Raw genomic sequence first — 27786 nt, 5'->3', positions numbered from 1 at the left:
GTCACCCTACTGATCTATCAAACAGCAGGTCTTATTTCCTCTATCAGACCAGAGGTTTGTACCCAGCAGTGACATTTTAAAGCTTAATATTTATAGTGTGATAACAGTGACCTCTCAGCACCGTCACCGGGCAGGGTGCTCCTGTGGTCACTGTTTTCAGATCTGCAGTGGAAACAAAAGTCCATTTCCAAGAAACCAGTGGGGCCGTACAATATGCTTTGGTAGCTAGCTTAGTCAGCACCAGATTCCGCAGAAGATGCTGGTGCCTGAAGCAGATCAATGGGACGGGTGCCACGGTGGGTTACCGTGTAAGAAGTAAATGTAGCATGTGAGTCAGCTTTCCTTCCTTTAAGCCAGTGGTTCTAGGGGTGATTCTGCCCCCCCAGGTGACATTAGGCAATGTCTGGAAATTGGGGGAGTGTTGGGACCAACATCTACTGGGTTGAGGTCAAGGGTGCTGCTAGCTTTTTATGATGCACAGGACACTCAGCCCCTTACAACAAAGAACCACCTAGTCCAAAATGTCAATAGTGCCAACCACAGTAGAGAAACGCTGCTCTAAACATAGACACAGTAGTCTCCCTAGCTGTGGTTTTGCTTTCAGCCGTTTCAGTTACCCACAGTCAACTGTGGTCTGAAAATCGGTGAGTACAGTACAATAAGATACTTTGGGAGAGAGAGAGAGACCACATTTACATAACTTTTATTACAGATACTTTTATCATTGTTCTATTTTATTATTAGGTATTGTTGTTAATCTCTTAGTGTCTTAGCCTTAATTCATAAGTTAAGCTTTTTCATAGGTATTTATGTACAAGGAAAAATGTAGTACAGTTGTTCGTCTGTATACCTGAGTTCTCACCCCTTGAACACTGTATTCTTGGTCCTGGTTTCGTTAAAAGAGTCTAGGTATTACTGCAAGGGTCTGGTGAGGGCTAGACAAACATCCCTGCAGAAGGATCGGTATCACAGGGACACTAACCCAAGAGGCCAAGTCTGTCCTGGCGTCAGGAAGGGTCCCACTGGGGAGAAACAAATGGTTTCACACTTCAAACGTTTTCAAGTGGGAACGTGAACCACCCGTGCTGTCTGACAACCTGTGTTGTATATGTAGGGTCCATACTATCTGCAGTTTCAGGCATCCATAGGGGGTCTTGGATTGTTCCCGCAGATAACGGGGGACTATTGCAATTGCTAACATCAAGTGTTCTCCTTTCCCTACCACCTGGACTTGAAGATGGGGTTGCAGGAAATGCAGCAGCCCCGGAAACAGAAGCTGCGTGCTCTGCTCGAGGAGCCTTCTGGACGCTTCAGCAGCAGTCTTCAGATTGCTGCCTTTCCTCAGTCATCTTCATTTCCAATAATTTGCATGCATTTGAGGGAAAAATTGTCCTCAAGTGTTGGATCTAAAAATTAACAGTGGAGCACTGGAATAGGCTTTTAAGCTAACACTGTGTCTCTAAATGTCCATGCTCCTCAGCGCTCCTTGCAAGCAAGTTAATCCCAGCACCTTTCCGGCTAGGAAAATAGGAGGGTCTAAAGCAGGCTGAAGAAGAAAATAAGTGCTTGCCTCCCAAAGTCCATGGAGTAGGTCACTTCTTCAGCACATTCCAGCAAATGAGCTGCGTTCTCTGCAAGCAATCTTATGCCAAATTGGCATTGCTTCCCACATGGTACAATTTTAAGACTTTTTTTGTTCTTCAAGCAGCCTTTGAACACGGAATAGCTACTGTTCCAGTTTATTGGAACATTTTGTAAAATTACATGATAAGCCGGTTCCAAAATCTTTTCTATGTCATGTAGTTTATCTTTGGATAAAAAAGAATGATGAAAGCAGCCCACTTGCTGGAGATTACAGGCAGCAATTCTGTGCCATTATTGCTTTCTCAACACACAGCTGAAGAGTGTGAACAAATCATAGGACGCTTGTGATTCCCAAGTCACTTGTAGCCATCACCATGTTTGTTCCATTGCTGGAGACAATTGCCCAACACTTTACTTGATGGACTTTTCATTTCATAAATATTTCTCCAATAAGATTCCTTTTACTGGGAAGAACCAAAGCCTCTTGGCAGCAAAATAAAGATGAGCGCACTCAGCCTCACCATTAATCCACCAGGCTGTCAAACTGATGGAAAGAATACAAAAGCAGCACATTTAATAACACCATTAAACTTTGTGCATGCAGCAGCATGTCATGCAGGAAGAAAGCATTTCGATAACATGGTTTCTGGAAAGAACTTTGTACCTGATCACTTGAGTAAATTACAAAAGTTCTTTGTCTTCATCCACTGAATACAGTTGTCAGTGGGTAACATTTTGAGAAGCTTTTTGTTCAAACATTTGGTTTCCACAGAACTGAAATGTGTTTTGAAAGAATTCATGTGAATTCTATTGTTTTGAATTTGGCTAGTGAAAATGTACATTGTGGGTGCCACGTTTTTCCTGAGTACCTCTTCATCCTTTTATACCCTTTGTTATAACTGGATCAATCATAATTTTCCAGGTATCTGTTGCGATTATTTTGGACTTATTTTCCTCCTTATGAAATTTTGAGGTGACAAAGATGATATGCTGCTTGCCATTTATAGATAAGAATATCTAAATCAGGGGTGTCCAATCTTTTGTCTTCCTTGGGCCACATTGGAAGGAGAATTGTCTTGGGCCACATATAAAATACTCTAACACTAATGATAGCTGATGAGCTTAAAAAATCGTAAACAAATCTCATAATGTTTTAAGAAAGTTTACGAATTTGTGTTGCACCACTTTCAAAGCCGTCCTGGGCCACATGCAACCTGCTGGCTGTGGGTTGGAAAAGCTTGATCTAAGCAGAATATTTTCTTGAAAGACTAATGGCCTATGTGAAATTAAGGAACTGAAAATTAAATGTAGATCTTAAAGTTTGTTTAAGTTAATATTATCAATGCACCCATTCAAATAATTCATCAAATATTAGAATTATAGTATAATCTAGTGATTATTTTCCTCCGTATTACTGAAATTTTTTTTTTTTCAGGAGATGGTGAATTTTATTTTGTCTTGTCTGGATAGAGGTTTTGATTTGCTCTCGAATGTTCCAGGGTGGAGAGAAACTAGGAGAAAAGCACAGGATGTAGAGGTCTATTCGGCATAATCTTCTCCCTCATTTTCATCTTCACCATCAACAGAGAGAGCAGCATACTTGCTTGCAGAACTGAACTTGGAAGCTGGATTTTCCTCAGGTTTCTTTGGCTCAGGTGCAGATCTGGAGTCTTGATCCTTTTTGCCATCTTTCCTATCTGACTCCTTCCAGTGGTCTTTGTTCCCTCCATCTCCTGGACCACGGCTAGAGTTCCCAGTTTGGCCTTTTGGGACATTCATCCCATCTACTTTGTTTTCATCTTTCCTTGCTGGTCCTTCCTCAGATGGTTGAGCTGGAGCTACTTTTCCCTCACCACTTGTAGGGGATTGCTGCTCTGTGTCTGAGCTCTGAGATCGAGCAGGAGGGTTAGAACTTCGCTTCACCCAAGCATTCTCCTTTGGTGGAGGGGCTGGCATTACCTTTAGGGGCTGATCAGGTTTGGGAGGTTTAGAAGTTGGAGAGTGGCAATCTTCCTCCTTATTGAGTGTTTCATTTTCTAGAGACTTCTCATTCTCTCTCCTTCGTGCATCCTGGGCTGACTTACTTCTGCCAGATGTGGTGGAGGTCCCAGTCTGTGATGACTCACTTCCTGTCCTCGACCGTTCCCGTTCCTGAGTTTCTTCACTTCGCCAGCTTGGGTGTCTCTCCGGAGGCCGTCGTTCTAGTTTTGGCTCATCCAGCTGATGCTGCAACTTCTCTTGTTCCTTCTGTAGCCGTTCTTCTACTTCTCTTTCTCTAGCAGCTGTGTCAACGGGCTTTGCCCCTCCAAAGATAGAAGCAGCTCGAGTGGACTGGGAGGTACTAGCAGAGGAATCATCTTCCTTAGGAGTACTCCGAGGGTTTAGATTCAGTTTGGGTCTTTGGGGGGGACCTCTACCATCACGCCTATAATCATCCAGAGAGTAATCATCTCTGGAGCTCCAAGACCGATCATCCCGTCTGTCATATCGGTCTTCATAGTGGTCCCCGCCTCCTCTGAGACATCATCCCTGCGATACCCACTGCCAAATGCTCTTCTGCCACTGCCTATCCGGGAATCATAGCCTCTATCATAGTCTCTGCTGCCTCGGTCATCATAGCGATCCCGGCCACCATATGGATCCATATCCCGGCGTTGGCCATCCCGATACCCATCCCGATACCCATCCCGATACCGGTCTGAATCATAACGATCTCGATACTTGTCTCCAAAGCTATCATCACCTCTTCTAGGTGGGTAGTCATCAAAGCTGTCTGTAGCAGGACGAGCCCTCCAGTCTGTACCTGTTTTGTCAGAATCCCGATTTCTATCACGGCCAAAAGAACAATCATCCCTGTCTTTATCCTGTGCTTGATCAGCAACGTCCACTCGAATTCTCCTGTTACCTAGAGACTCTTCCTTGAGACTCAGGGCACTAAGCAGGGAATCCAGGTCCTCAAATTCAGCATAACCAAAACCTTTCAACCTCACTGGATTGCTGGGTTCACATGGTAAACGCACTGCACTGATATTTAATCCTCGAAAGAATTCCTTAATTGACTCTTCTGTAACATCATAGGGTAGGTTTCCTAGAAAAGCAGTGTAGGGTGGCGATTTGGGAAGATGGCTCCGGTCGATATTGGGTTCCCGAGCAGCCCGTGGAGCAGTGGGAAGGATGGAACGGTCAATTGGAGACGCCCTATACACATCGTCATCGTTACTGTGCCAAGTTGTCGAAACATCTCCTTCCAGGTCATCCGTTTCATCAGCTCAGCTGACTGGTTTGGAAACATAGGTCCTTCCTCCACCAGTACCCCCATCCTCAGCCAGAAAGTCTGTTAGGGAGATAGTCTTCCCCTTCTTCTTCTTCTTTTTTGCTGAGGCCGCCGTGTTGGGAGAGGGAAAGAGAACGCAAAAAGCCCGAAATTTTTATAAATGATTATTGGCATTAAAAGGAAACAGAGTTCTTTCTAAAGTTACTTAGCTAACACTCTTTCTTAATATTTGTATTAGTGACGTATTTCCCTACTTAATGATTGGAAAGTTGTTAATAATTTTTATGTGAGATGAATGGTTTTCACAAACTATATTTATTTCTGCATGTAACTACTCTTATTGGTAATAATTTATTTATTTATCAACTGGCTGAAGAATTTAATATTAAAACACACAAGGAGGCTGGGTGTGGTGGCTCATGCCTAAAAGCCCAGCACTCGGGAGGCTGAGGCAGGAGGATCATTTGAGTCCAGGAGTTCAAGATCAGCCTGGGCAACATAGTGAGACCCCATCTCCACAAAAATAAAAAATTAACCACACCTGTAGTCCCAGCTGCTTGGGAGGCTGAGGTGCGAGGATGGCTTGAGCCCAGAAGTTGAGGCTGCAGTGAGCTGTGATCATGCCACTGCACTCCAGCCTGGGTGACAGTGTGAGACCCTGTCTCAAAAAAAGCAAAAACAAAACAAAACAAAACAAACAAAACACAAAAGGAGATTTATTCAATGTTCTATTCAGAATGCTTACCTGGACCTGAAAGTGAATAATCAGGTATTAATTATCAAGTTAAATGACAGGTCTTGCCTTGTTCATACCACTGTTGTGACACTGATTAGATATGATGAGAATCTATGGGATCTCACAATTATTGGTCACATCTAATATTAAGACCACATAACAGTAGGCTGTAAAACAATGTTAGCGTATCCTCTCAAATTGTCAACTAGTAGTGTCTTTTAAATTTTATTTTATTTGCATAGACATACCGAGGGAAAAAGAAGTATTTCCTTTTTTTCTCTTGAGATGGGGCTCCTCTTCTGAGGGGGGATTAAAATTTAACAGTCTTTAAAAAAATTGTTCCAGGGACTGTGTGGGTCTCTGCTTAGGAGAGCTCAGTCCTATGATGAGAAACTAGGAGGAACTTTGTGCTTCCAGAGTTGCAGGGACCGAGTGCCCCACTGGGAGACGATGGGTGGACAGACACCCCAAGACTGGTGAGAGGAGAGAAGTCTTGTGCTCACACAGGGTGGAGAGGAGGCATGACCCCAGGTAGTGGGTGCTGGGGTGGGTAATTATGCTGTGGCTTTGGAATAGCAGCAGAGGTCTTTGGGGCTCAGTCAACAGTCAGCAGAGGGGTGACCTCTTCTTTGAGGGGTCTTCATGCCATCTTGGGTGGGGTGTCTACAGATGGTGAAGGACTGCTGTCCAGTGGCTGCAGAGCCTTTACGTGATGGTACCACTGTAATAGCAGTGACCATCCTGCAGCAGGGACCATGTCAGCCCCTTTCCCCAGAAGCACGATAGCCCAGGGTTCTGAATGGATCCAATAGAAGGCATAGGATGGAGCCGCAGAATAGCTGACACGGGCCTTGTCAGGCTCAGCCAGGTTTAGATATGATTTAGAAGAAGAAACGTGATGTCTCTGGTACCCAAATACTATGGAGCTGTTAACACACATCGCATGTATGCATACATGCCTCCTGAAACAAACCACACTACATATACATCAACATAGTAGCACTGGTTTCTCTGGGTGGAGGAATCGGGGGAGATTTTAGTTTTAGTTGTAATTTTCCTACTTTATTTCTTTTCCAAAATCTCTAGAACAAATGTTCCAAAATCTCTAGAATGTATACAATTTATAATCCAGAAAAGTAATTCTAATAAGCCAGCTGATGATTTAAAAATAAAGAAAATCTACAGTGATTAAGACATTCAGCATAACAAGAATTATGTCTTATTGTCTATTGCACCTCTTTGTCCCAGCATAAAACAATGGCTGTTATTTTTGAGAACCAGGGCACTGTGCTAGGCATTTTATGGTAATTATCTTAACTAATCTTTCAACAATAAGATAGGTACTATCATTATCCTCCTTTTAAAATGAGGAAAAATGATAAAAACATTCTTGAAAGAGCTAAAATAAGATGTAAAGAAATAAAGAGACAGTCAAAAGACCTTGGAGACATTCATAACCTTGCACATAGCAAAGGTTGGCTGAATTGTTCTGTAAAGAGCCAGATGAAAACTATTTTAAGCTATACAAGCCATAGGGTCTCTATGACAACTACTCAGCTCTGCCAGGCAGAAGCAGCCATTGACAATATGTAAATGAATGAGTGTGCTGTGTTGCAATAAAACTTTGTGAAAACTGGTGATGGGCTAGAGTTGGCTCATGGGTCATAGTTTGCTGACCTTGCTATAGAGAAAGACAATGTCATAATATAAAACTTTCTAAAGTGACACTTGATTAGACCAATTCTAATCAGGGATTTAAGATATTGTTTAACCTCTAGGAGGGGAAGCCTTTTAAAGCAAGACAGGGCTGGGCGCGGTGGCTCATGCCTGTAATCCCAGCACTTTGGGAGGCTGAGGCGGGCTGACCACAAGGTCAGGGGTTCGAGACAGGCCTGGCCAACATAGTGAAACCCTGTCTTTACTAAAAATACGAAAAATTAGCTGGGCGTGGTAACGGGCACCTGTAATCTCAGCTACTCAGGAGGCTGAAGCAGGAGAATTGCTTGAACCCAGGAGGCGTAGATTGCAGTGAGCCAAGATCGTGCCATTGCACTCCAGCCGGGCAACAGTATGAGACTCTGTCTCAAAAAAAAAAAAAAAAAAAAACAAGACAGAAAACCAAAAAGTCTTAAGGGAAAAGTCTGACAAATCTGACTACATAAAAAATCTGATCATTTTGCATGGCATAAGACAACACAAAAATATTGACAGACATGATGAGACTAGAGAAAATATTTGAAACACATGACAGAGGATTAATATCTCTAATATTGAGAACCTCTGAGAAATCATTAAGCAGGAAAAAGTTGGAAATTAGGTAATTCGCTGAAGTTGAAATGAAAATGATTGTCAAACATTTAAATATATGCCCAACATCACTAGTACTGCAGAGAATGTTTATTACAACAATAATGAGACTCAGTTGTTTGCCAATCAGGTTGGCAAAAAATAAAAATACTAAAAATACTGATGATGTTTTGTGCTAGTAAAAGTGAGAGGACAGTGATGTCTCACCAGATGCTGGTCGAGTGTGAACTGTTATGTGCTTTGGAAAAATGACCTGGGAGAAAAGGCTAAGTAGCTCTTACCCAAAATGCTTCGGATCAGAAGTGTTTCAGATTTTGAAATAATTGCATATACATAATGAGATATCTTGGGAGTTGGATCCAAGTCTAAGCACAAAATTCATTTATGCTTTATATACACTTTATAGCCTGAAGGTAAATCTATGCAATATTTTAAATAAGTTTGTGCATGAAACAAAGTTTGTGTCAAGCACTTATGTGTGGAATTTTCCACTTGTGGCATCATGTCAGTGTCCAGAAATTGTGGATTTATTTTTTTGAGTTGAGGTCTTGCTGTGTTGCCCAGGCTGGAGTACAGTGGCACAATCATAGCTCACTGCAGCCTTGACCTCCTGGGCTCAAGCCATTCTCCCACTTCAGCCTCCCAAGTAGCTGGGATTACAAGTTTGTATAACCATGCTAAAATTTTGGATTTTGGAGCATTTTGGATTTGGAATTTTCAGATTAAAGATGATCAACCTATACCTATTAAAATTTAAAAAGGCAAATTTGAAATGATAAATTATCTAGAAATTAAGGAAAAGAAAAATACGTCATATCAAAACCTATGAGGTTTGTCAAAACTACTCTGAGAAGAACTCATAGCTTTAAAAATAATGTTAGTACTTCTAAAAACTTAGTGCTTCATTTCTATTTGATATGTATTGCAGTGAAGATTGTTTGACCCTTGTGACATCAGGGAGGTCATTGCTTCCCAGCTGTGATGAATGTGGGGCTTCCCTCTCTGCCCTGGGGCATTTCTTGTGAGTTCTCCTTCATTATCCCTCATACCCACTCCGGGGCTTCCTTTATTTTGGGGTACATTGTCCCGTTCCTATGTAGCCATGTTTGTGGGGTTGGCTCATGGTGATGGGATAGGGTAGAGGTCATGCCTCTCCTCGGATGCATTCAAGGGTGCAGCTGTGAACAGTCACTTCTGGGCTCATGCACAACCGTGGTATGTGTTAATCACTCTAGAAATATTGTGACACATAGAAAGGTCCTATAAATGTCTAAACTGAAAGTTAGTACTCAAAGGACCAGAAGTGAGGGCGGAGTCAGGGATGGGGTGGGGAAAAATGACTTCTTAAGGTCCCTAAAGCCCTTTGCTTCAAGGTCAAGGCATGATTTATTACAATAAAGAAGTATAGTTCATCCACCTCCATATCAGGAAACTTCCAAATCAGAAGGGTGACAACCTCTCTGTGAACCCAGGCTAGAAGCTGCAGAAAATAAATGTGATGATTTTGTATTGTGCCTTCATCTCTCTTCAAAGATGAACACACATCTATTGGCTCCTTAGCCCACCCATCGATCCGCAGCAGAAAGGAGCCTGTGACTGCTGCTAAGCAATCTCCCACAACCCACCAAATGAGTGACAGGGCCCAAATCAAACAGAGCGCCTGTCTGACTCGGATTCAGCGTAGTGAGAAATGAGAAGGGAAGGGAATTTTCTCTATGTGGCTCCGTCTCTAGTGATGTCACTAAGCAAAAAAAAAAAAAAAAAAGAGGGATGGTGGGAAACTGCGACGGAAGAAAAACTTGGAAGCCTGATCTGGACACACAGGAGATGCTTATCGGGGCTTCTTTTGTGGGAAAAGCGTTCCCTTGCATCTCCGCTTGTCTCCCCAGATCACACATGGGTGCTGTGCTGCCATCTCAGAATCGGGGGGAGGAAGCGTCAGGCCTTGCATGAAATACTTTCATTCATTTCTTATGACAACTTATTACCCTGCTCCTCAGCCTGAGCATGAAGGGGGTCCAGTTCTACCTCCGAGGGAGATCGGGCCAGGCTCTGTCCTGGCCGGCTCTGGTCTAGTGTGCTCCAGCTGCTGGTGCCTCCCCTGGCCGCAGCCCAAGCCTCCCTGTTCCGGGCAAGGCCCCCGGCTTTCAGGACGCCACTTCGACAGCACTGCAGGAGGAGGCCAAGGTGGAGACGGTCGACACTAAATCCTTCTTTATGTTTGCCCCGAGTTTTGGGGGAAATATTTATCACTGAAGCGTTAAAAAGTGGGCTCCTCTGTGTCATGCATGTCACGGGCTCTGTTCTGCAGCGCCCCTCAGGGGCCCGTGAGCCTCCTCCTGGAGACATCCGCTGCAGGCGCTGGGTGGCTGGTGATTTCCATCCCACCAGCAATCTAAAACCTGTAAACACTGACGGCAGTCGGCCCAGGGGTGTGAGAAACTCGCAAATGAACAACAAATGCAGGGAGAGAAAGGCCAGACCAAATGGACTGATGTTTTTCACAACCACGGAGGGGTTTAATCCCTGTCCCAAACCATATGGCACACTCCACACCAGCCGGCGAGGGCGGGGGTGACTTGGCGGCGGACCGTGGAAGCAGAAAGGCAAGGCATTTTGTTTCCTTGTGTGCGCTTTTTTTCCCTTTAAATATTTACTTTTTGTGTTTTGCCAGGATGCATTTTCCATCCCATATGCACAACAGGCTGCCTTTGCAAATGGGGGCCTGGCTCGGGGACCTGTAATAGGATACTGATTCTTTCACGTCGTCGGGGGCTGCTCTTCCCACCTCCCAGGGTGATGGCGAGCAAAACCCGCTGCAGATTTAGTGTGTAGGTCTGGTGACTCCAGAGAAAGGGTAGGTGGTCTTGATCCCTGTCTGTCTTTTCCTCAAGTGCCCCGTTGGCAGGACCCCAGACCCGCATCCACCGGGTTAAGTGAGCCCCTGGTGGGAAACGCTGACCTTGCCAGGAGGTAGAAGTCCCACCCGCCTTGTTGGGCCTGAGGCTGTGGGTGGGCGGGGAAATAGCCAACCACGCAGGAGAGGGGAGTCTCTGGCTTGGAGGCAGCTGATGGGGCATCCTTCACAAACTTTCCACCCACAGGAGAGGCAGACCGGGAACAAAAGTGGCAAGAGGGGTGGGCGGGCCAAGGGAGAGCAGCTGGAAGAGGGGATGGGGTGCTGGCAAATTCCCAAGGGAAACAGAAATGTACCATACCAACATAAATAAATTAGTCCCGGGCCGCGAGCCATGTTTGAACCAGAATAATGTAAGCAATCAAATGCTTACTGTCTCTGATTCACTCAGCCTTCCAAACACATTACTTAACAGAAAATGGAAGGGTTTGTCATAAAGATGTGTAGTAGTTGCACAATGCTGGCCACGTGGTTAGGGGTGGGCTTGGAGCTGGCAAATACAGATGTCCTCAACTAAAAATACACAGCCCTGGCATTTTAAAAATGGTTATGAGAGATGAGGGCTGGAAGAAACATCCTGGTATTCTCAGGACGTCTCTGAAGGGTCCCATTTGTTCCACATGCAGCCAGAGGGGAAGCAAACTTTCAGAGGTGCCAGGCAGAGGACACACTTGTCACCATGGGGAGACACTGATATTATTGTCCTTATTTTCTAGGGCAGGGTTGCTTTTTTTTTTTTTTTTCTGAGGCAGGGTCTTGCTCTGTCAACCAGGCTGCCGTGCAGCGGGGTGATAATGGCTCACTGCAGCCTCAACCACCTGGGCTCAAGTGATCCTCCCACCTCAGCCTTCCCAGTAGCTGGGACTACAGGAAGGGGCCGCCATGCAGGGCTAATTTTTTGTACTTTTTATATACACAGGTTTCCTCATCTTGCCCAGGCTGATCTTGAGCTCCTGGGCTCAAGCAATCTGCCTGCCTGGGCCTCCCAAAGTGCTGGGATTACAGGCGTGAGACGCCGTGCCCAAGGATTTCTTAAACTGTAGTGTGCATGGGTATATAAGAACAGGTTTGTGAATCTGAATCCCAGAGATTCTGATTCAGTAGTCTGGGTGGGACCTGAACATTTAAGTTTTTTATAAGCTCCCAGGCAATGCTGGTGCTCCCGGCCCATGAACCACGTTTCAAATTGTACTGTCCTCAATGAGTGACACTCATGACACTTGTCACGTTATTCAACCTGGGTAGCTGGATCCTCTGTGCCAGCTTCCCTGCCAATACATAATGTTTCTTGTGTTCTGATGGCTAGCAATGGTGCTAAGGTCAGCTGAGCCTGGACTTGTCCTCAGAATCCTTCCTGACACAGTCCTCTTGGCAGCCACCACCATCAGCCAGAGCTGGCATTCAGATGAAAACTACTTGTCTACTTTGAGTGGGTGTAATGGGAACTGGTCTAGCAGTTAGAGAAGGCCTTTAACTAGTGTGGGGACATAGGATGAGGTTTTTAACCTTGCTGTATTAGTTCCCTCACCTGTAATGAGAGGGCTGGATTGCACGCACAGTTCTCAACTGGGATAATCCTGAGAGTCATATTGTATTAGTCAATATGTTAGCTCAGGCTGCCATAACAGGGTGGCTTAAACAACAGGAATTTACTTCCCACAATTCTGGGGGCTGGAAGTCCAAGATCAAGGTGCTGGCTGATTTGGTACCTGGTGAGGGCCTGCCCCCTGGCTTGCACATGACTGTCTTCTCACTATGTGGGTTCTGGAGGCTGGAAGTCTGAGATCAAGGTGTCAGCAGGTTTGAATTCTCCCGAGGCCCATCTCCTTGGCTTGCAGACAGCCGCCTTCTGGCTCTGTGCTCACGTGGTCATCTCTGTGTTGCCTGTGTCTGGTGTCTTTACTTATAAGGGCACTAATCCCATCATGAGAGCCCCACCCTCATGCCCCCTTCTAAACCTAATTACCACCCAAAGGCCTCACCTCCCAATACCATCACACTAGGGGGAGATTTGAACATATGAATGGGGGAGACAGGCACACAATTCAGTTCATAACACCTATGAACAGCTTGCTCTAAAGCACAGCTTCCTGTGTCCCTGCTCTAGAGATTCTGATCCAGGTCCTTTGGGTGGGATCTGGGAATTTCTATTTTCCTCTGGTGCCCCACATGATTCTCAGCCTCAGGCAGGCTGGAGAGGCTCTGGGTGAGTTGATGGCTGAGTTCCTCAGTTCCTGAGCAGTGAGTAAGCTGTGGGATCCTCCAGACCCCCAACAGTGGCTTGTCACATCTCTGCATGAGCACTTAGCCCACACCTCTCTGTAACACTTGGCAGAGTGTGGGAAGGAGGGACTGCAACTTATCCCTATGCAGATCTGTAACCCAGCACTGGGTGACCGTGCTGGAGCAAGGCACACAGTAGGCACATCATTAATGTGTACCGAGGGCCTCGCCTAGGACCCCTTCTAACTTCAAAACTCTTTAAAATGTGTAAATCTTGTTCAACGAGCTCTCAAAGGGGTTTCTGATGTTATTTAGGGAAAGGCAGTGCGGCCGCTTTTGTTTTTACTGTCCGGGAGGCTTAAACAACAGCAAGCACATTTACATTGCCCTCGTCTCCCTGAGCAGCAGAAAGTGAAACAACTTGAGCTGTGACTAGAAAATGAATATAAACAAGCACAAAGAACAGCCCCGCCTCTGCCAGCCCTCTGGCCAGCCGCTGCTTTCTACCATTCCTGGTGACTGCAAAGCACTGGTAAGAGCAAGTGATAACTGAGGCTTCTTAGGACAATATAATGCAAGAGAAACACTTTTCCACATTCCTTTAATTCTCTTATTCCCACGAAGAATAATCAAGTGAGGAAAGAGAAGACAATGTGGAAAGAGTTTTCTTTATTAAAAGCAGGGCTAAGAGGAAGAAATGCAAAGTAGGTGAACTGATGTATAGCAAATATAAACCCTTCTGAAAAAATCAGAATGTGATGTCACTACTCACCTATTAGGGAAGCTAACATTTGAAAAAGGTGGCAGTATCAGCTACTGGTGATGATGTAGAGAAAGTGGATCTCTCTCATGTTGCTGGTGGGAGTGTAAAATAGGATAAGCATTCTGGAAAATTGTTTTGCAGTTTCTTGTAAAACTAAACATGCCATATGGCCCAATGACTGCACTCCTGGGCATTTATCCCAGAGAAATTAAAATTTATGTCCACAGAAACTCAGGTATAGGAATGTTTAAATTAGCTTTATTTGTAACAACCCCAAATGGTAAGCAACCCAAATGTCGTTTAGTGAATGAATGGTTAAACAAACTGTGGAATATCCTCACCATGGACTACTTCTCAGCAAGAAGAAAGCAGCATCAATGCACACAGCAACTGGGATGGATCTCTCAGGAATCACGCTGAGTGCAAAAGACAACCTCAAAAATTTCATACTGCATGATTTTATTTATTTATTTTTTTCAGACAGTTTCACTCTGTCGCTCAGGCTGGAGTGCAGTGGTGCAATCTTGGCTCACTGCAACATCGGCCCCCTGGGTTCAAGCAATTCTTGTGCCTCACCCTCCTGAGTAGCTGGGATTACAGGCATGAGCCACCACGCCCAGCTAATTTTTGTATTTTTAGTAGAAAAGGGGTTTCGCCATGTTGGCCAGGCTGGTCTCAAACTCCTGACCTCAAATGATCTGCCTGTCTCGGCCTCCTAAAGTGCTGGGATTACAGGCATGAGCCACCATGCCTGGCCTGCAGGATTTGATTTTATATAGAGACAGGATCTTGTCTGTTGCCCAGGCTGGAGTGCGGTGGCACAATCGTGCCTCACTTGCCTCACTGCAGCTTCAAACTATGGGCTCAAGGGATCCTCTTGCCTCAGCTTCCTGAATAGCTGAGACTCTATTTTTATTTTATACTAAATAAAAATATATTTTTATAGAGATGGGGTCTGTCTGTGTTGCCCAGTCTGGTCTCAGACTCCTGAGCTCAAGCGATCCTCCCACTTCAGCCTTCCAAGTAGCTGAGATTACAGATGCAGGCCACTGCACCTGGCAATAATTTTACAATGACAAAACCACAGAGATGAAGAACAAGTTGTGGTTTCCAAGGGTTAAGGTGGTGGTAGGAAAATGGGGAGAGACAAGTGTGGCTATAAAGAGGCAGCATAAGGATCTTTGTGATGGTGATTCTGCAATTTTGGGTCTGGGTATATACTCCAGAAAATCGAAAGCAGGAACTCCAATGGATATTTGTACACCCATAGCAGCATTATTCACAATAACCAAAAAGGGAAACAACCTAAATGTCCATCAGTGGATGACTAGATGAGCAAAATGTAGCATGTGCACACAATGAAACTTCATTCAACCTTAAAACAGAATGAAATTCTGACACACGCTGCAGCATAGATGACCCTGGAAGACATGCTAAGGAGACAGGCTGGACATGAAAGCTTCAATATTTCATGATTCTGCTACCTGAGGTCCCTAGAATAGTCAAATTCGCAGCAGCCGAAAGTCGAGCAGTGATGAGCAGGGCCTGGGGACGGGGGAACCGGGAGCTTGTGTCAAATGGGGACACAGTTTCAGTTTGAGGTGATAAAAAATCCTAGAGATGACTGGTGGTCATGGTTGCACAAAAAGATGTGAATGAGGTTAATATCACTAAACTGTGCACTTAAAAATTGTTGAAATGGTAAATTTATGTTATGGATATTTTACCACAATTAAAAACAAAGCATTACTAGAGGTAAATAGGGTCACACACACAAAAAAGGCAAACGTTGTCAAATACTTCCTCTCACTCACTATATTTTTTCTTTTGGCTCCAAAGATGAGTCAGTTTTACCACACATTTAAGTAAAATAATAACAGAAGGATGAATGGAAAACTGAAATAGTGCCAAGCAATGATTAGAAAAGTTAAACTTTCAGCCTGGTATTTGCAGCTCTGTGCATTTCAACCTAAAGTCACAATTCCTGTTGTATTTACTTCTCTGGCTTCATGGAACTCAGTCTGATGAGGCTACTGTGGTGTTCTGAATGCACCTTATTCTTTCCCGACTCACACCGTTTGTTCTCCCTCGAATGACCTCTGTTCTCTTTTTCTTCTCCACCTGTCCAAATAGTACCGTCCTCCAGATTCAGCTCAAATTCCACCTTCCCCAAGACAGTAATTCGGTGATTTCTCTCCCTCCTCTACTCACCAGTTTTACTTCTTGTCCAGATCCGTGTTTCGGAATAGGCATTTTTTTTTGGTTAGATTTACAAATGCAGGTTTTGTATTCCTCCAATTAGTGTGTAATATCCTCAAGGCACAAAACAAGTCATCAATCTCTTTGTAGCCACCAAATAAGTCAGTGCTGTGAATTTCAGAGTGGGTACCTGGTAAACTTCTAGAACCGATTAAACAGAAGTTTTCATCCATTTCCCTATTCAATTCTGAAACATTTGGGAAAAAAAATATAAATGAAAGAACTTAGTGAAGACCTGGTCTATGAAGGATGGAGATACCTTAAAAATTCATGTTTATAGGCCGGACGCGGTGGCTCACGCCTGTAATCCCAGCACTTTGGGAGGCCGAGGCGGGCGGATCACGAGGTCAGGAGATCAAGACCATCCTGGCTAACACGGTGAAACCCCGTCTCTATTAAAAATACATAAAAATTAGCGGGGTGTGGTGGCGGGTGCCTGTAGTCCCAGCTACTCAGGAGGCCGAGGCAGGAGAATGGCGTAAACCTGGGAGGCAGAGCTTGCAGTGAGCCGAGATTGCGCCACTGCACTCCGCGAGACTCCGTCTCGAAAAAAAAAAATCATGTTTATAGGAACTTTCTGATTTTTGAGAGTAGTGAGGAAGTACTGGGATAAGAGATTTATGCTTTATAAAATCACAGATGGCTAGAACTGCAGGGAACCTTAGTCATTATCAACTGCAATGTCTATATCTCACAGAACAGGAAACAAATGCCCAGAAAGTCAGACACTGACCAAGAAACACACAAATGGTGCAGAGCTGGGTCTAGAACCCATGTCTTCTTCTAAGTTCCCACTTTTTTTTTCACTAACCACTGCTGCCTGATGGAATTATTTTGTTTATGTATGGGATATATGGTACATAGAAATGAGAAATGTCCATTATAATTTTCCACCTATGATGAAGCACATTAAATTAATGGTAAAAATAACCTTGAATGTTGAAATTAGTAGGTCTGTGGATGTAAACATGTTGTGCTGGCTGAGCTGAGATGAAGATGACCATTTGTGGTGTGGAAATGAAGACCACCCAAAGAGAACAAGCAAAGGCTATTTATTCAGAGCTTGCCATTGCTTGTATTTGGCAGAGACTCAAAGGCAGGCAGAGGAGTGGGAAAGCTTTATAGTGGAAACAAGCGAGAGCTTCAGGTGTGTCCTGGTAGGAGGCTGTTGGCCTGGGAAGCTGGAGGTGGGCTAACCAGAAGTGAGATCTCATCCTATGAGATTGGCTCAGGAGGATATTTGGCTTTCTTGGTCTGCTCCTAAGTTGGGAGTGGGGACAAAAATTAGGGAAGTTGTCAGTTATTAGTCAAGTCCTGGGCTTTTTGGGCTAGTTGTTTCAGAGGTTATTGTTTGGCCTCTTGGGCCAGTTGCCAGAGATAGTGGTCTGACGTGTAGATTGTTGCTGGCTTTCTGGGCTGATTCCTATAGGTCACGGGTTGGTTTCCTGGTCTGGTTGCTGCAGATGGTGGGTCAGAGTTTTCATTCGGTCTGAGCATTGCCTGTTTGTATATTCAGTCTCTCCGCAGTTCCGCTTAAGGAAATTGGCTGCTTCTTGTTCTGTGAATGAGCATCACCCTCCTTAACCTGCCTTTTATAAGTCACAAGGCCCAGACTAAATTGAAGGGGCACGTTCAGGAGTCAAGTATGTTTTCCTGCCTGCTTGTCCTCAGGGAGCAGATCCTCTGCTGTATACGATTTCCCCAAAAGCCTTTTAAAAACCATTGCTGTTCTCATTTTAATCCCCTGCTAAAAAAATGTGCACTACCTCTGGCCTGGGTCCAACCCTCCTGTCCACCCTTTGGTCCTCTGTGGCCTGTGTCTGCCGCACTCGCCCAATGTTCCCTTCTTCCTTCATGCTTGGGGTGGAAACTTGGCTTCCCCAGGCAGATCCTGACTCCCCTGCCCTTCCTTCCATGCCTTCCAACTCCCTAAAATGCCTTCGCCTCTCTTCTCCAAATCCTGCCCGTCATTCAAGCTCCAGTCTGGAACCCGCCTCCTGTAGGAAGCATTTCCTCATAACTCCAGTGCATGTGAAAGTCTCCCTTTCCTGAACCCCGAGGGGCTGAACTTGCATTCCTTACTTTGGGTTTCCAAAGGCTTTGCATCGGAGATGCACCCAGGGAAGCATGTCGGAAATGCAGAGTACTGGGTCCCACCCTTAGAGATGCTGGCTTGTTAGGGGTAGATCGGGCACGTCATATTTGGACTTGCAGAGAAGACAGGAGAGAGTGATTTTGTTCAAAAGTAACCAACATGAACAAAGGCATGGAGGTGGGAGAGTGTGCCCGTGTGTGTGTGTGTGCACATGTGTTTACTGCAAAGGAGGGAAAATTGTGAAAGACTGTGAAATGGACCAAAATGATAACTGGATTTCCCTCCTGCATTGTGGAAGGAGCTACTTGCATCTGTGGTTTATGTACGTCTCTGTTCTTTGGTTTTTCCTTTGAACCAGTTCTAACATCTTCCTTGTTCTCGAATTAATTAAAAAAAATATTTGGCACAAGTCCATTTTCTACTTCTAGAGTCACAGTTACCTCTTTTAAAAAATTCTCTCTGTTACGCACACACACACACACATGCACACACGCACACAGACACCATACACATGCACGTTTGTAAGCCCTGCGGGGCTCAGCCCACTCACCCTGAGAAAATGGTTAACTCGGTGAGAAAGACTGCGATCTGCTGAAACGCCAAACCATGCAACATGAATTTTATTAGGTAGTTTGCCTTTAAGATGGTCCTTCAAAGTGTTGGAATCACCATTTTATAGTTATTCATCCCTCTAAGACACCATTGAACAAGAATGCATAGGAAGCATTGCTCTTGGCTTTTTCTGTACATTTCTGGGAACTTGCCTCTGGGATTCTCAAACTGCCATACAAGGTAGAGTTGAGTAAGCTTTTCCGTCTTTTCACGGCTGGTTCAGCAACAAATGCTGTTGGCTGCTTTGAGTGCTTTGAGTTTCCTCACAGAATGTCTTGACTCTCTTTTTTTTTTTTCAGACAAAGTCTCACTGTATCACCCAGGCTGGAGTGTAGTGGCACAATCGTGGCTCATTGCAACCTCTGCCTCCCAGGTTCAAGTGATCCTCTCACCTTAGCCTCCCGAGTAGTTAATTTTTGTATTTTTTATAGAGGTGGGATTTCGCCATGTTGCCCAGGCTGGTCTTGAACTCCTGGGCTCAAGTGATCTCTGCCTGCCTTGACCTCCCAGAGCTCTGGAATTACACACAGGAGCCACTGTGCCCGGTCTATCTTGACTTTTTCATCTGTAGGGGGCCAGAGAGAGAGAGAGAGAGAGAGAGAGAGAGAGAGTTGGCCTCGGGAGCCCACAGGCCTGTGCCTCCCCTGCTGTGTTATGCCTTCCACTGTGTTCTAGTGGGCCACGGTGCCAGAGCCACTGAGCCATCCTGAGGCCAGCAGCACCCCTGCCCAGCCACATGCACACCAAAGACACCCACCCCTCCCGGCTCAGGGCTGCTTCGTTCTGTTTCTGGTCCTTGTTTTAAAACCATGAAGCAAAGGGTCCAGGTGCTTCTTGTGCCTTTTGCTTTGCAACTTTCCACTGACATAGGCTCTCTCCTTGACCATACTTTAGCTGGGCTCCCTGATCCCTCTTCTCAGTGAGGCCTCATCCTTGAGTCCTGCCTTCAACCTGCCTTGCCCAGTTGTTGCAATGATCCTGCTAAGTCAGTTTGGAGAGAATTCTACCACCCTCGATGCCTGATCATTCTTAAGGAATTTGATAACTGCTCAAATTCCTCATCCCCTACCTTTGGCATCTGATCGCCCTTGCCTGCCTTCAGCAAGAATCCTGTTAAGTCAGCATAGCAACAATTCTCTTAGTACTTTTCCAACCACTGACCTCTCACTCTGCTCATCAGCTGTAAATCCCTAGCTCTCTTCCTTGCCTTCGGAGTTGTGCCCCATCTCTTTCCCCCATTTGATAGTCTTGACATCTACAGAAATCATCCTGAATCAAGTCTTCCTTATATTTTACCAAGTGTGAGAATAATTTTTTAATACCGTAAGGTCTGAGTCCAAAGAGTTGACTGCCCAGGCCATTTGGACCCCTATGGAAAGCTGACTTGAGCTGACTGGGGCCACATCCTGCTTTCTGAGACCCACCCAAACCAAATCACCATCATTTGGTCTTCCAAGGCATCCTGTGGTGTGTTGTCAAGGGGATCCCTCTAGTCTGCCCTCCTGGAAGAGAGTCACCCATTCCCCTTCTGCCTGGAAAACCTCTCTATCTGTAGACTGTTGTTTCAATTGCTGGAACATCCTGGACTTAAAGATCAAGGGAGATTTTGACCTCCAGGCTGGTGATCTCTGGCTTGGCTGAATGCTAAGCAGCCAGACCTCATGCACCATCTTCCAGCCCAGACTCCACATGCCATCTTCTAACCCAGACCCATGTACCGTCTTCCTACCCAGACCCCATGCGCCATCTTCCTATTCAGACCCCACGTGCCACCTTTCTATCCACTTCTCTGTGGGTAGAAGGGGTCTGATGACTTTGTAACCCACCTGACAGGACCCCTTCAGGAGGCGTCTTATTCTTTAGAGGGAGGGAATTCTACATGCTTGGGACATTTCCCCCCCTTAATTTGCTCAGCCTCGCAGAACCCAAACAGAAGTTAACCCCCAAGATGTGCAAGGACAAAAGGGGCAAGGAAATGGGCCTGAGCGGCTGAAACAACAAACCCTTTTCCTAACGGGCAAAGAATGATTTCCTATGTTAGAAAGAATTTACAACCTCCGCTGCTTTCCTTTCTTATTTCTTTTTTCCAGCTTCCTCCTTCTCCCGCAATAAAGGAGACCCGTTTGTCCCAGAGCCCCTTCTTTTTGATGAGAGTCTGACTCTGGGAGAAGGACTGGGCTTCAAGGAACACATAAAAGTAAGTAGTAAAAAACAAAACACAACACACAACGCAATGCCACCCGCAGTCACCTCTGACGGGCAGGACCTTCTGGGGCTGGGTCCATCTGCATTGTGATGAGAGCAGTTTGTGAGTGATGTCAGCCTAATTAGTCAGGCTAATGTCTGGTTTCCTGGAGCGGGCTTTTGTGAAGTAATTGGCTGCCTTAGGGTCAAAATGCAGTAATTATAGGTCTTACAAAAAAAAAAAGAAAACTAAATGAGATAAACAGCCTTTGAATTCTTCAAGCAAGTAAGCCAATCACACCAAGAGACTTCTCTTTGTGCCCAGAACTGCAGTGGGTATTTTGACAGGTGATTTCAATACCATGTAGCTATTTATTTATTCTGGGTTTGGGACATAAACACAAACATCTTGGCCTACAATTCTACACGTTCACCAAATGTGGGGATTGCATGGCAAAGGGTCTGCTTCCAGCACTGAAATTGGAGAATAAGGTCAGCAGGTATTTTGAGCTAAAGCAGAAATTCCACCACAATTTTAAAGCTAACAGAAGAGAATTATCCATGTAAACCAGCTCCCTTTCTTCCAGTTGTTTGCTTATTTTCTTTGTAAAAATCAACAACAGGAGAGTCTGGAAGGCTATGGAAAGCTAATAAAGTTTGGAAACATCATTTCGATCTCAGGAGGCGTGGAGACTGGATCAAAGCTGAGCAGGATGTGAGCCTATTTTTACCAGTCCTGGTTGAGGTGAGGGTGGCTGACCCCACAGTTGTGAAGACCTGGAGATAGGAAGTGGAGAAAAGTTTTATAGATGAAATAAGCCCTATTTCCGGGGTCCCAGTCCCTCCCACTGCATCACAAGCTGGCTAACCCTGGAAACCCCACACTCAACCCCAAACTGTGTATGCAGAGCCTGAGGCCCACTGCAGATCATCTGCATTATAATCTGCATTTTAACACAGTCCCCAGGGATTCCTATGCTTATTCACATAAACTACTTTGTGATGGGCTTTGTTCCTGATACCAGTGGCCCATTTTGAGCAAGTACATTGACCAGGCAGTAGTATGAGGGCAAAAGGTAAGTACCAGGGTGACAGCCTGCTCCATTTTGGTCTTTTAGAAGAGTGATTTGCAGATAATCGTAGCCCACTTTTCTTAATGGTGAAACTTCTGTTGGTTGTTTGTGGGAATTTGAGCACATCCTCCTCTCCCTCACTGCTCCACCCAGGACACCTGACACCCAAGCGTGAAGGGTACAGGTTGGCTCTATCGCTGTCTCTGTAGATGTGGCTGTAGATGTAGCCTGACATTATAGATCAATCACCATGCATCAATTACCATCACTTCTCCCTGAACAAATTAAAAAAAATAGATATCTCTTAGCACTGACCATGCATATGGAAGTCTGGTAATTAACAGCTCGACTTGAGTCTGCATCTCTGCATTACCGCAACCTTAATGATTTACCTACCATGCTAGGCCTCCCTTATTATCTAATTTAATCCCAATACACCACCATGTCTCTAAGAGGACAGGACCTACCCTAGCTTTCATGGAGCTTCCCATTTCATGGAGAAGCCAGACAATAGAAAATTCATTGCAAGTCTGATGGGTTTTACAGAAGGTTGCAATGGGAACATATCCGAGGGGGATCAAAGGCTTCCCAAATAAGTCATGTTTAAGTCGCAACTGAGAACTCCCGGGATAGGATTTTCGTGGTGAAGCTGGAGACAGATCAAGGTGAGCTTTGGTGAGCCATGAGGATGATGTTGGCAATGGGAAAGCTGTTAAACTAAGGGAGAGAGTAATCCAATCCAACGAGAAACAACAGCAGGGCTATGGTTTAGAGAATGGATGGCTTGGAGGTGGCCAGGGAGGGTAGGGTGGGATGAAGATGGCTTAGGCTGGAGTATGAGCCATGTGATGAAGAACTATTTAGATGTGGGATCAGTGTCACTTGATTTAGCTTGGGGAGCAAGGGAAAGAGAGACTTTGACTCCAAGGTGTGAAACATATGTAGTGGTCTTTAGTGTAGACTCATCAACTTGATGAAATGTAATCAAGTATTACCAGTCATGCTGTAGAGAACCCTTTCTCCAAATTTTACCACCCCTATTGTGGGCTAGGCACTCTGCAAAATGGCTTATCTACCTCTTATCCTTAATCTTCATTGACAACCCTTTGAGGCTAGCGCTGTTAGGATTCCCATTTCACAGGTGAGGAAGGCGAGGCTTAGGAGAGTGAGGAGGAGCTACGTTAAAGCTCAGATCTATCTGAGCATGGTCCTCGTGTCTCTGTTTCCCAAACTTATCTGATGACAAGACTCACCTGGGACACTTGATAAGTGTCCACACTGCCCGGTCCCCTCAGGCACCTGCTGATTTGGTGAGTCAGAGCCCCAGAATCTGAGTTTCCATAGACCTTATCACCAGGCCACTTTGGGAAGCACTGACTTATGCTGCTGAGACTTGGCCACAGAAGGAGCATTTGCCTTCACCTTACCCCTCACTCTGACTAGTTTTTATACACAGAACTTATTGCAACTTGAAATTTTTCTGTATTCTTTATTGATTTATGGTTTTTCAGCCCCTCTAGAATGTAAGCGCCAAGAGGGCAGCGATCAGACCAGCTCCTGGAACATGGCAGGACCAACACCCTCATCCGTGTGCCTATTCTCTTCCTGGAGGTCCTCCAGAGACTTCCTGCTCCCATTCTTGCTCCTCCTTCACCCACTTTCCATTTCCTGAGTGAAATGTAAATCTCATCCCCCATAGTCCTTAGAGCCAGACCAGCTTGCTTGGCCCATGCCTGCCCGCCCCTCCTTCCCAACTTTGTCCCTCAGCTCCAGGCTGCCACACAGGCCTCCAGGGTGTTTTCCAATCCCTCCAAGAGATCTTCAGCTCCCCAGGGCACCTTTCTTGGAGGGGCCAGTGCCATTTGGTGGGGCGGCGAGGTTAAAGACCACTCTCTCTGGTGACCACCCCTTTGCCCACTATCTTCCCTGGGCCTCCCCTGAGCTCTTCAAGAGAGAACCACTTGCTTAGAAGAGGCTTGGGAAGGATTTGTACAGTGGCCATGCCGCAGACCTGGGGTGGAAGGTGCAAGAAGGTGTCCTGAGCAGGAGGTCAGGAGGGCCGCTGAGCCATTTCCGAGGGGAACGGCGGGCCTTGGCTGGTCAGGGAGAGGGGAGACTGCCGGGAGGTCCCCTGCATGAGAACTCTGTGGCGGCTCCCTGGGTGGGCCAGGCCGGCACAGCCTCGCTGTGTTCTGTGCAGTTGAAAGAAAGCTGCGGGGCGGAGGGGGCCTGGCTGCTCGGGCCGCGGCCATGGGCTGCGCCACACATGGCTAAAGTACACAGACTATTAGCAATCAAGGAAAGACCTCCCTGCGAGGGAAAATGACATAGGGGTTACTTCACTGTAAACATCCCAAGAACAAGCACTGGTTCCTTTTAAGGGCTGTCTTTACTTCCTTTGAGAAGTTGCAAATGCACCCATGGCGGGCTTTGGCGCTCAGTCACACGTTGGGGAGGAGGGACTCCTATACACACAGTCACTCCCAATGGCAGAAAGCCCCAAATGCCACGAGGATTTGCCAGGAGTCTGCACCCTGAAATGGATTCTGCTGATGCATAGAACCAATAGCGCTTGCAACAGAAAACAGGGCTGCCTGCCGAGAAACACAACCCCTGACAGCCGGGTGCAAACATTCTTTTCAGTTGCGTCCTCCCAGCACCTTTGTTTTACAGGTTGCTTTTAAGAGAAAAAAAGTGTAGTATTTGCTCCTTGCTTGTGTAAGAACAAATTGAAATCACATGGGTCATCTGTCAGGCTCTCGTGAGAAAAGGAGGGACAGAGACTTATCAGGTGTTTGGATCCTCAAATCCTATCCACGAATGTGAAGCCATAGCCCTCTGGGGTCTTTTCAATAAGCGGCTACAAGTTGTCTCCCTTCCTAGGAAGCTTAATAACAGCATTTTTTTTAAAGAGACAGGGTCTCAACTGTCACCCAGGCTGGAGTACAGTGGCACAATCATAGCTCACTGCAGCCCCCAACTCCTAGGCTCAAGTGATCCTTCCACCTTAGCCTCCCAAGCGGCTAGAACTATAGGCACATGCCACCACCCTTGGCTACTTGTTTTATCTTATTATTATTTGTAGAGATAGGGTCTTGCTCTGCTGCCCAGGCTGGTCTCAAACACCTGGCCTCAAGTGATCCTCCTGCCTCGGCCTCCCAAAGCACAGGGATTACAGCTGTGAGCCATTGTGCCTGGCCAGCAATTTTTGGAGAAAAAGATTTGTAGGTTGTGTTGATGGCTATTAAACTTGTGAGTGGCAGAAGGCCCTACACTAGCTTAAACAGAAAAGGACCTTTCTGGGCTTCTGTAGCTGGGCAGTTCGGGGATGGCTCAGGGACTCAAGTGGTAACAGTGGAAGCTAATATGTATTGAGCATGGGGCACAGATCACACAAGTCCCTGCATCTAACCCTCACCAACTCATGACACAGGTTCTATCCTCAGGCCATTTTGCAGATGGAGAATTTGAGAAGCAAGAGTCACAGCTAGAAAGCGGCAAAGCCCAGCTGAGTCCCTAAGCCCTGCTCCAACTCAGTTCTGAGACCTGCATCCTCTGAACTTATTCCATTTTCTCCTACTGCTTCCTGCAGGGAGAAAGGCAGTGCCTGGAAGCCCCTGCTGGACAGCCTCCTTGCCCAGCGACTCCAGGCCAAGGGCAGTCTCCCCAGTTGGCTCTGCAGAGCAGGTCACAGGGCTCCACGGGAAGTAGAAATGTGTCTGGGTGCTGTGACAAGTGCAGATTCTGTGGCCCAGTCACAGCATTCCAGAGATGTAGTCCACTGTTGTCAGAACCTCCAGCTCTCAAGAAAAGCCAGAAAGCTGGATTTTTTAAAACAAAAGTTTCTGCTTTGGGAAATGCTATGCAGTCCTGACAAAATACATCTTGGAGTCACCAGTATCAACCTCTGCTCTCCAGAAGAGCCCTGGAGAGTTCAGCTTCAGCTGCTCACCCACCCCTGAAGTAAACCCGGGCCTGGGGTGTTCTGCCCCATGTGGGACCTGGATCTGCTCCCTGGTAGAGGAGGGACTGTGACTGACAGCCCCACCAAGCCACCTGGTGTATGGATGGAAAGTCCCCAAAGAAGCCATAGGGTAAACTCTAGGCCTTTTCTAGAGCCACGTGTATGAATCCGTAGTCCCACAGGCCAAATCATCAGAGAAAATTATTCCATTCAAAAGTTGAAGTTGCTTATTTTTTTGAACGGTATCAAAGCAGAGATGAATACACTGGGCTGCTGTGAGCAGCGGTGCCTCTTCTCCAGCCTCCTCCAAGGAATGTGCCTTAGTCAGAAAGTAGGGGACCCTCTGAGGTTGAATTGAAAGTGTGTTTTTCATTTCCTATTCCCGTTTCAGCCTGTCTGATGAAATAAATACAAAGGAACCAGATCCCACCCCTTTGTGACATTTGCTAATTACACCAGAGACTTTGCTTGCAAGGCATTCCCACCTGGGCTGGGGTCTGGACTAGGATTAGCAACTTTCTGGGCCTTCCCAATTTGGGTTCTAGCTGCATAGCCCATCTGGAAGAAAATGTGGTGTGTGTACACTTGATTCATGGTAAACCTCAAGTTTATAATTGTTTAGTTCTCCAGAAATAAATCTTGTGACTATTCTCTCACACTTGATAGAAACCATCATTTCGAGCGAGGGCTTGATGTTGAGGTGTGCTGCGTGGTGCAATGAGTTGAGTGCCAGCAGGGGACCCTTCTGACCTCAATCCTCATGCCCCTCACCCCCCGCACTTGTCACAGAACCAAATATTACACTAGTATTTGCTTTCCTCAAGTTGAATGCATTGTGCACCTATGTTAGCTTAAATGGGTTACACAGATCAGGGATGGCAGTGTATTCTTACCTATAACATGACCTGCTATGGACTGAGTCTGAACTGTTTCATGTACTACACACACCCCTTTCTTTCATAACCAATCTAATAATGGGTATTTTGGGCCCATTTTTCTCAGAGGAAGAAACTGAGTTTTCAGGGCTTGAAATGAATCTATATGTGTGTGTATACACACATATATGGTTTTCTGTAAACTATATATTCCTTATACAGTATAAGCTCCTAATACAGGAGTATCAGGATGTTTTTGGCTACAGCTAATATAAACCCCCAACTCCAAATGACAAGAAAACATCGAATACAAGCATAAGTCCAGATGGATGGCTCTGAGGCTGGTTAATTTCACATCTCAAATGACAGCCTTGGGAACCCAGGTTCGTTCTTTCTGTCTGCCATCCTTGGCAGTAGCTGCATCCCATACAGATATGCCCTCACCCAGAGTGAGGGAGGTGGCCCAAGTGTGTTCTTGGGTGCCCAATTCCCTATTTCACACTTGATGTTCAACATTCTGCACCTCAGCCTCTCTGATTTTTGGCACCAGTGACATCAGTAATACCCATTTTCTTCCAATTAACAAGGAAGTTGAGAAGAGTTCTTAGCTTATGTTTTAGACAGGATGTGTATATCAGTCAGGGCTGCGAACCAGTGAGAATTTTCTCCATTGAAAGTGACTCAAGTCGCGTGTCCTCATTTCTGGCTTCTGTTCTCTGTATTGATAGAGAGCTTGGATTTGGAAATCTGGTTCCACCAGTTACAAGCTGTGTCTTTGTGCCTCAGTTTGTGCATCTGTTTAATGGGGATCTCATTAGAACCTGCCTCTAAAGGTTGCTGTAAGGATTAAGTAATTTAATACAGGGGAAATCCTTAGTACAGGGCCTGGCCTGTCGTAAATTATTAATGTTATTATCTAA

General features: G+C 45.7%; 1 long non-coding RNA gene and 1 pseudogene across 1 annotated transcript, besides 3 other annotated features; both read right to left on the bottom strand.

Moving 5' to 3' along the window:
• EIF4BP3 (eukaryotic translation initiation factor 4B pseudogene 3) lies at window positions 3015–5000 on the bottom strand (annotated as a pseudogene).
• Window positions 13319–13613: an enhancer, noted in NCBI's record as "tiled region #13927; HepG2 Activating non-DNase unmatched - State 4:PromP, and K562 Activating non-DNase unmatched - State 21:Repr". NCBI's record gives its function as "activates a minimal TATA promoter and a strong SV40 promoter by Sharpr-MPRA in HepG2 and K562 cells {active_cell/tissue: HepG2 | K562}" and the evidence as "EXISTENCE:reporter gene assay evidence [ECO:0000049][PMID:27701403]".
• Window positions 18751–21117, bottom strand: LOC112268039 (uncharacterized). Its single transcript, XR_002956870.1, has 2 exons — window positions 20826–21117; window positions 18751–19335 (listed from the first exon to the last, which is right to left on the bottom strand). It is a non-coding gene; the product is annotated as an uncharacterized LOC112268039 (long non-coding RNA).
• Window positions 21759–22282: an enhancer, noted in NCBI's record as "NANOG-H3K27ac hESC enhancer chr9:98890980-98891503 (GRCh37/hg19 assembly coordinates)". NCBI's record gives its function as "activates a minimal SCP1, AML or CMV promoter by ChIP-STARR-seq in naive H9 embryonic stem cells {active_cell/tissue: H9 hESC(naive)}" and the evidence as "EXISTENCE:reporter gene assay evidence [ECO:0000049][PMID:30033119]".
• Window positions 23667–24197: an enhancer, noted in NCBI's record as "H3K27ac-H3K4me1 hESC enhancer chr9:98889065-98889595 (GRCh37/hg19 assembly coordinates)". NCBI's record gives its function as "activates a minimal SCP1, AML or CMV promoter by ChIP-STARR-seq in naive H9 embryonic stem cells {active_cell/tissue: H9 hESC(naive)}" and the evidence as "EXISTENCE:reporter gene assay evidence [ECO:0000049][PMID:30033119]".

The sequence above is a fragment of the Homo sapiens genome, chromosome 9 (genome assembly GCF_000001405.40).
Source record: "Homo sapiens chromosome 9, GRCh38.p14 Primary Assembly".
Taxonomy (NCBI): Eukaryota; Metazoa; Chordata; class Mammalia; order Primates; family Hominidae; genus Homo; species Homo sapiens.
The sequence above is the reverse complement of the archived record's forward strand: the minus strand, read 5'-3'. Positions and strand labels throughout refer to the sequence as shown.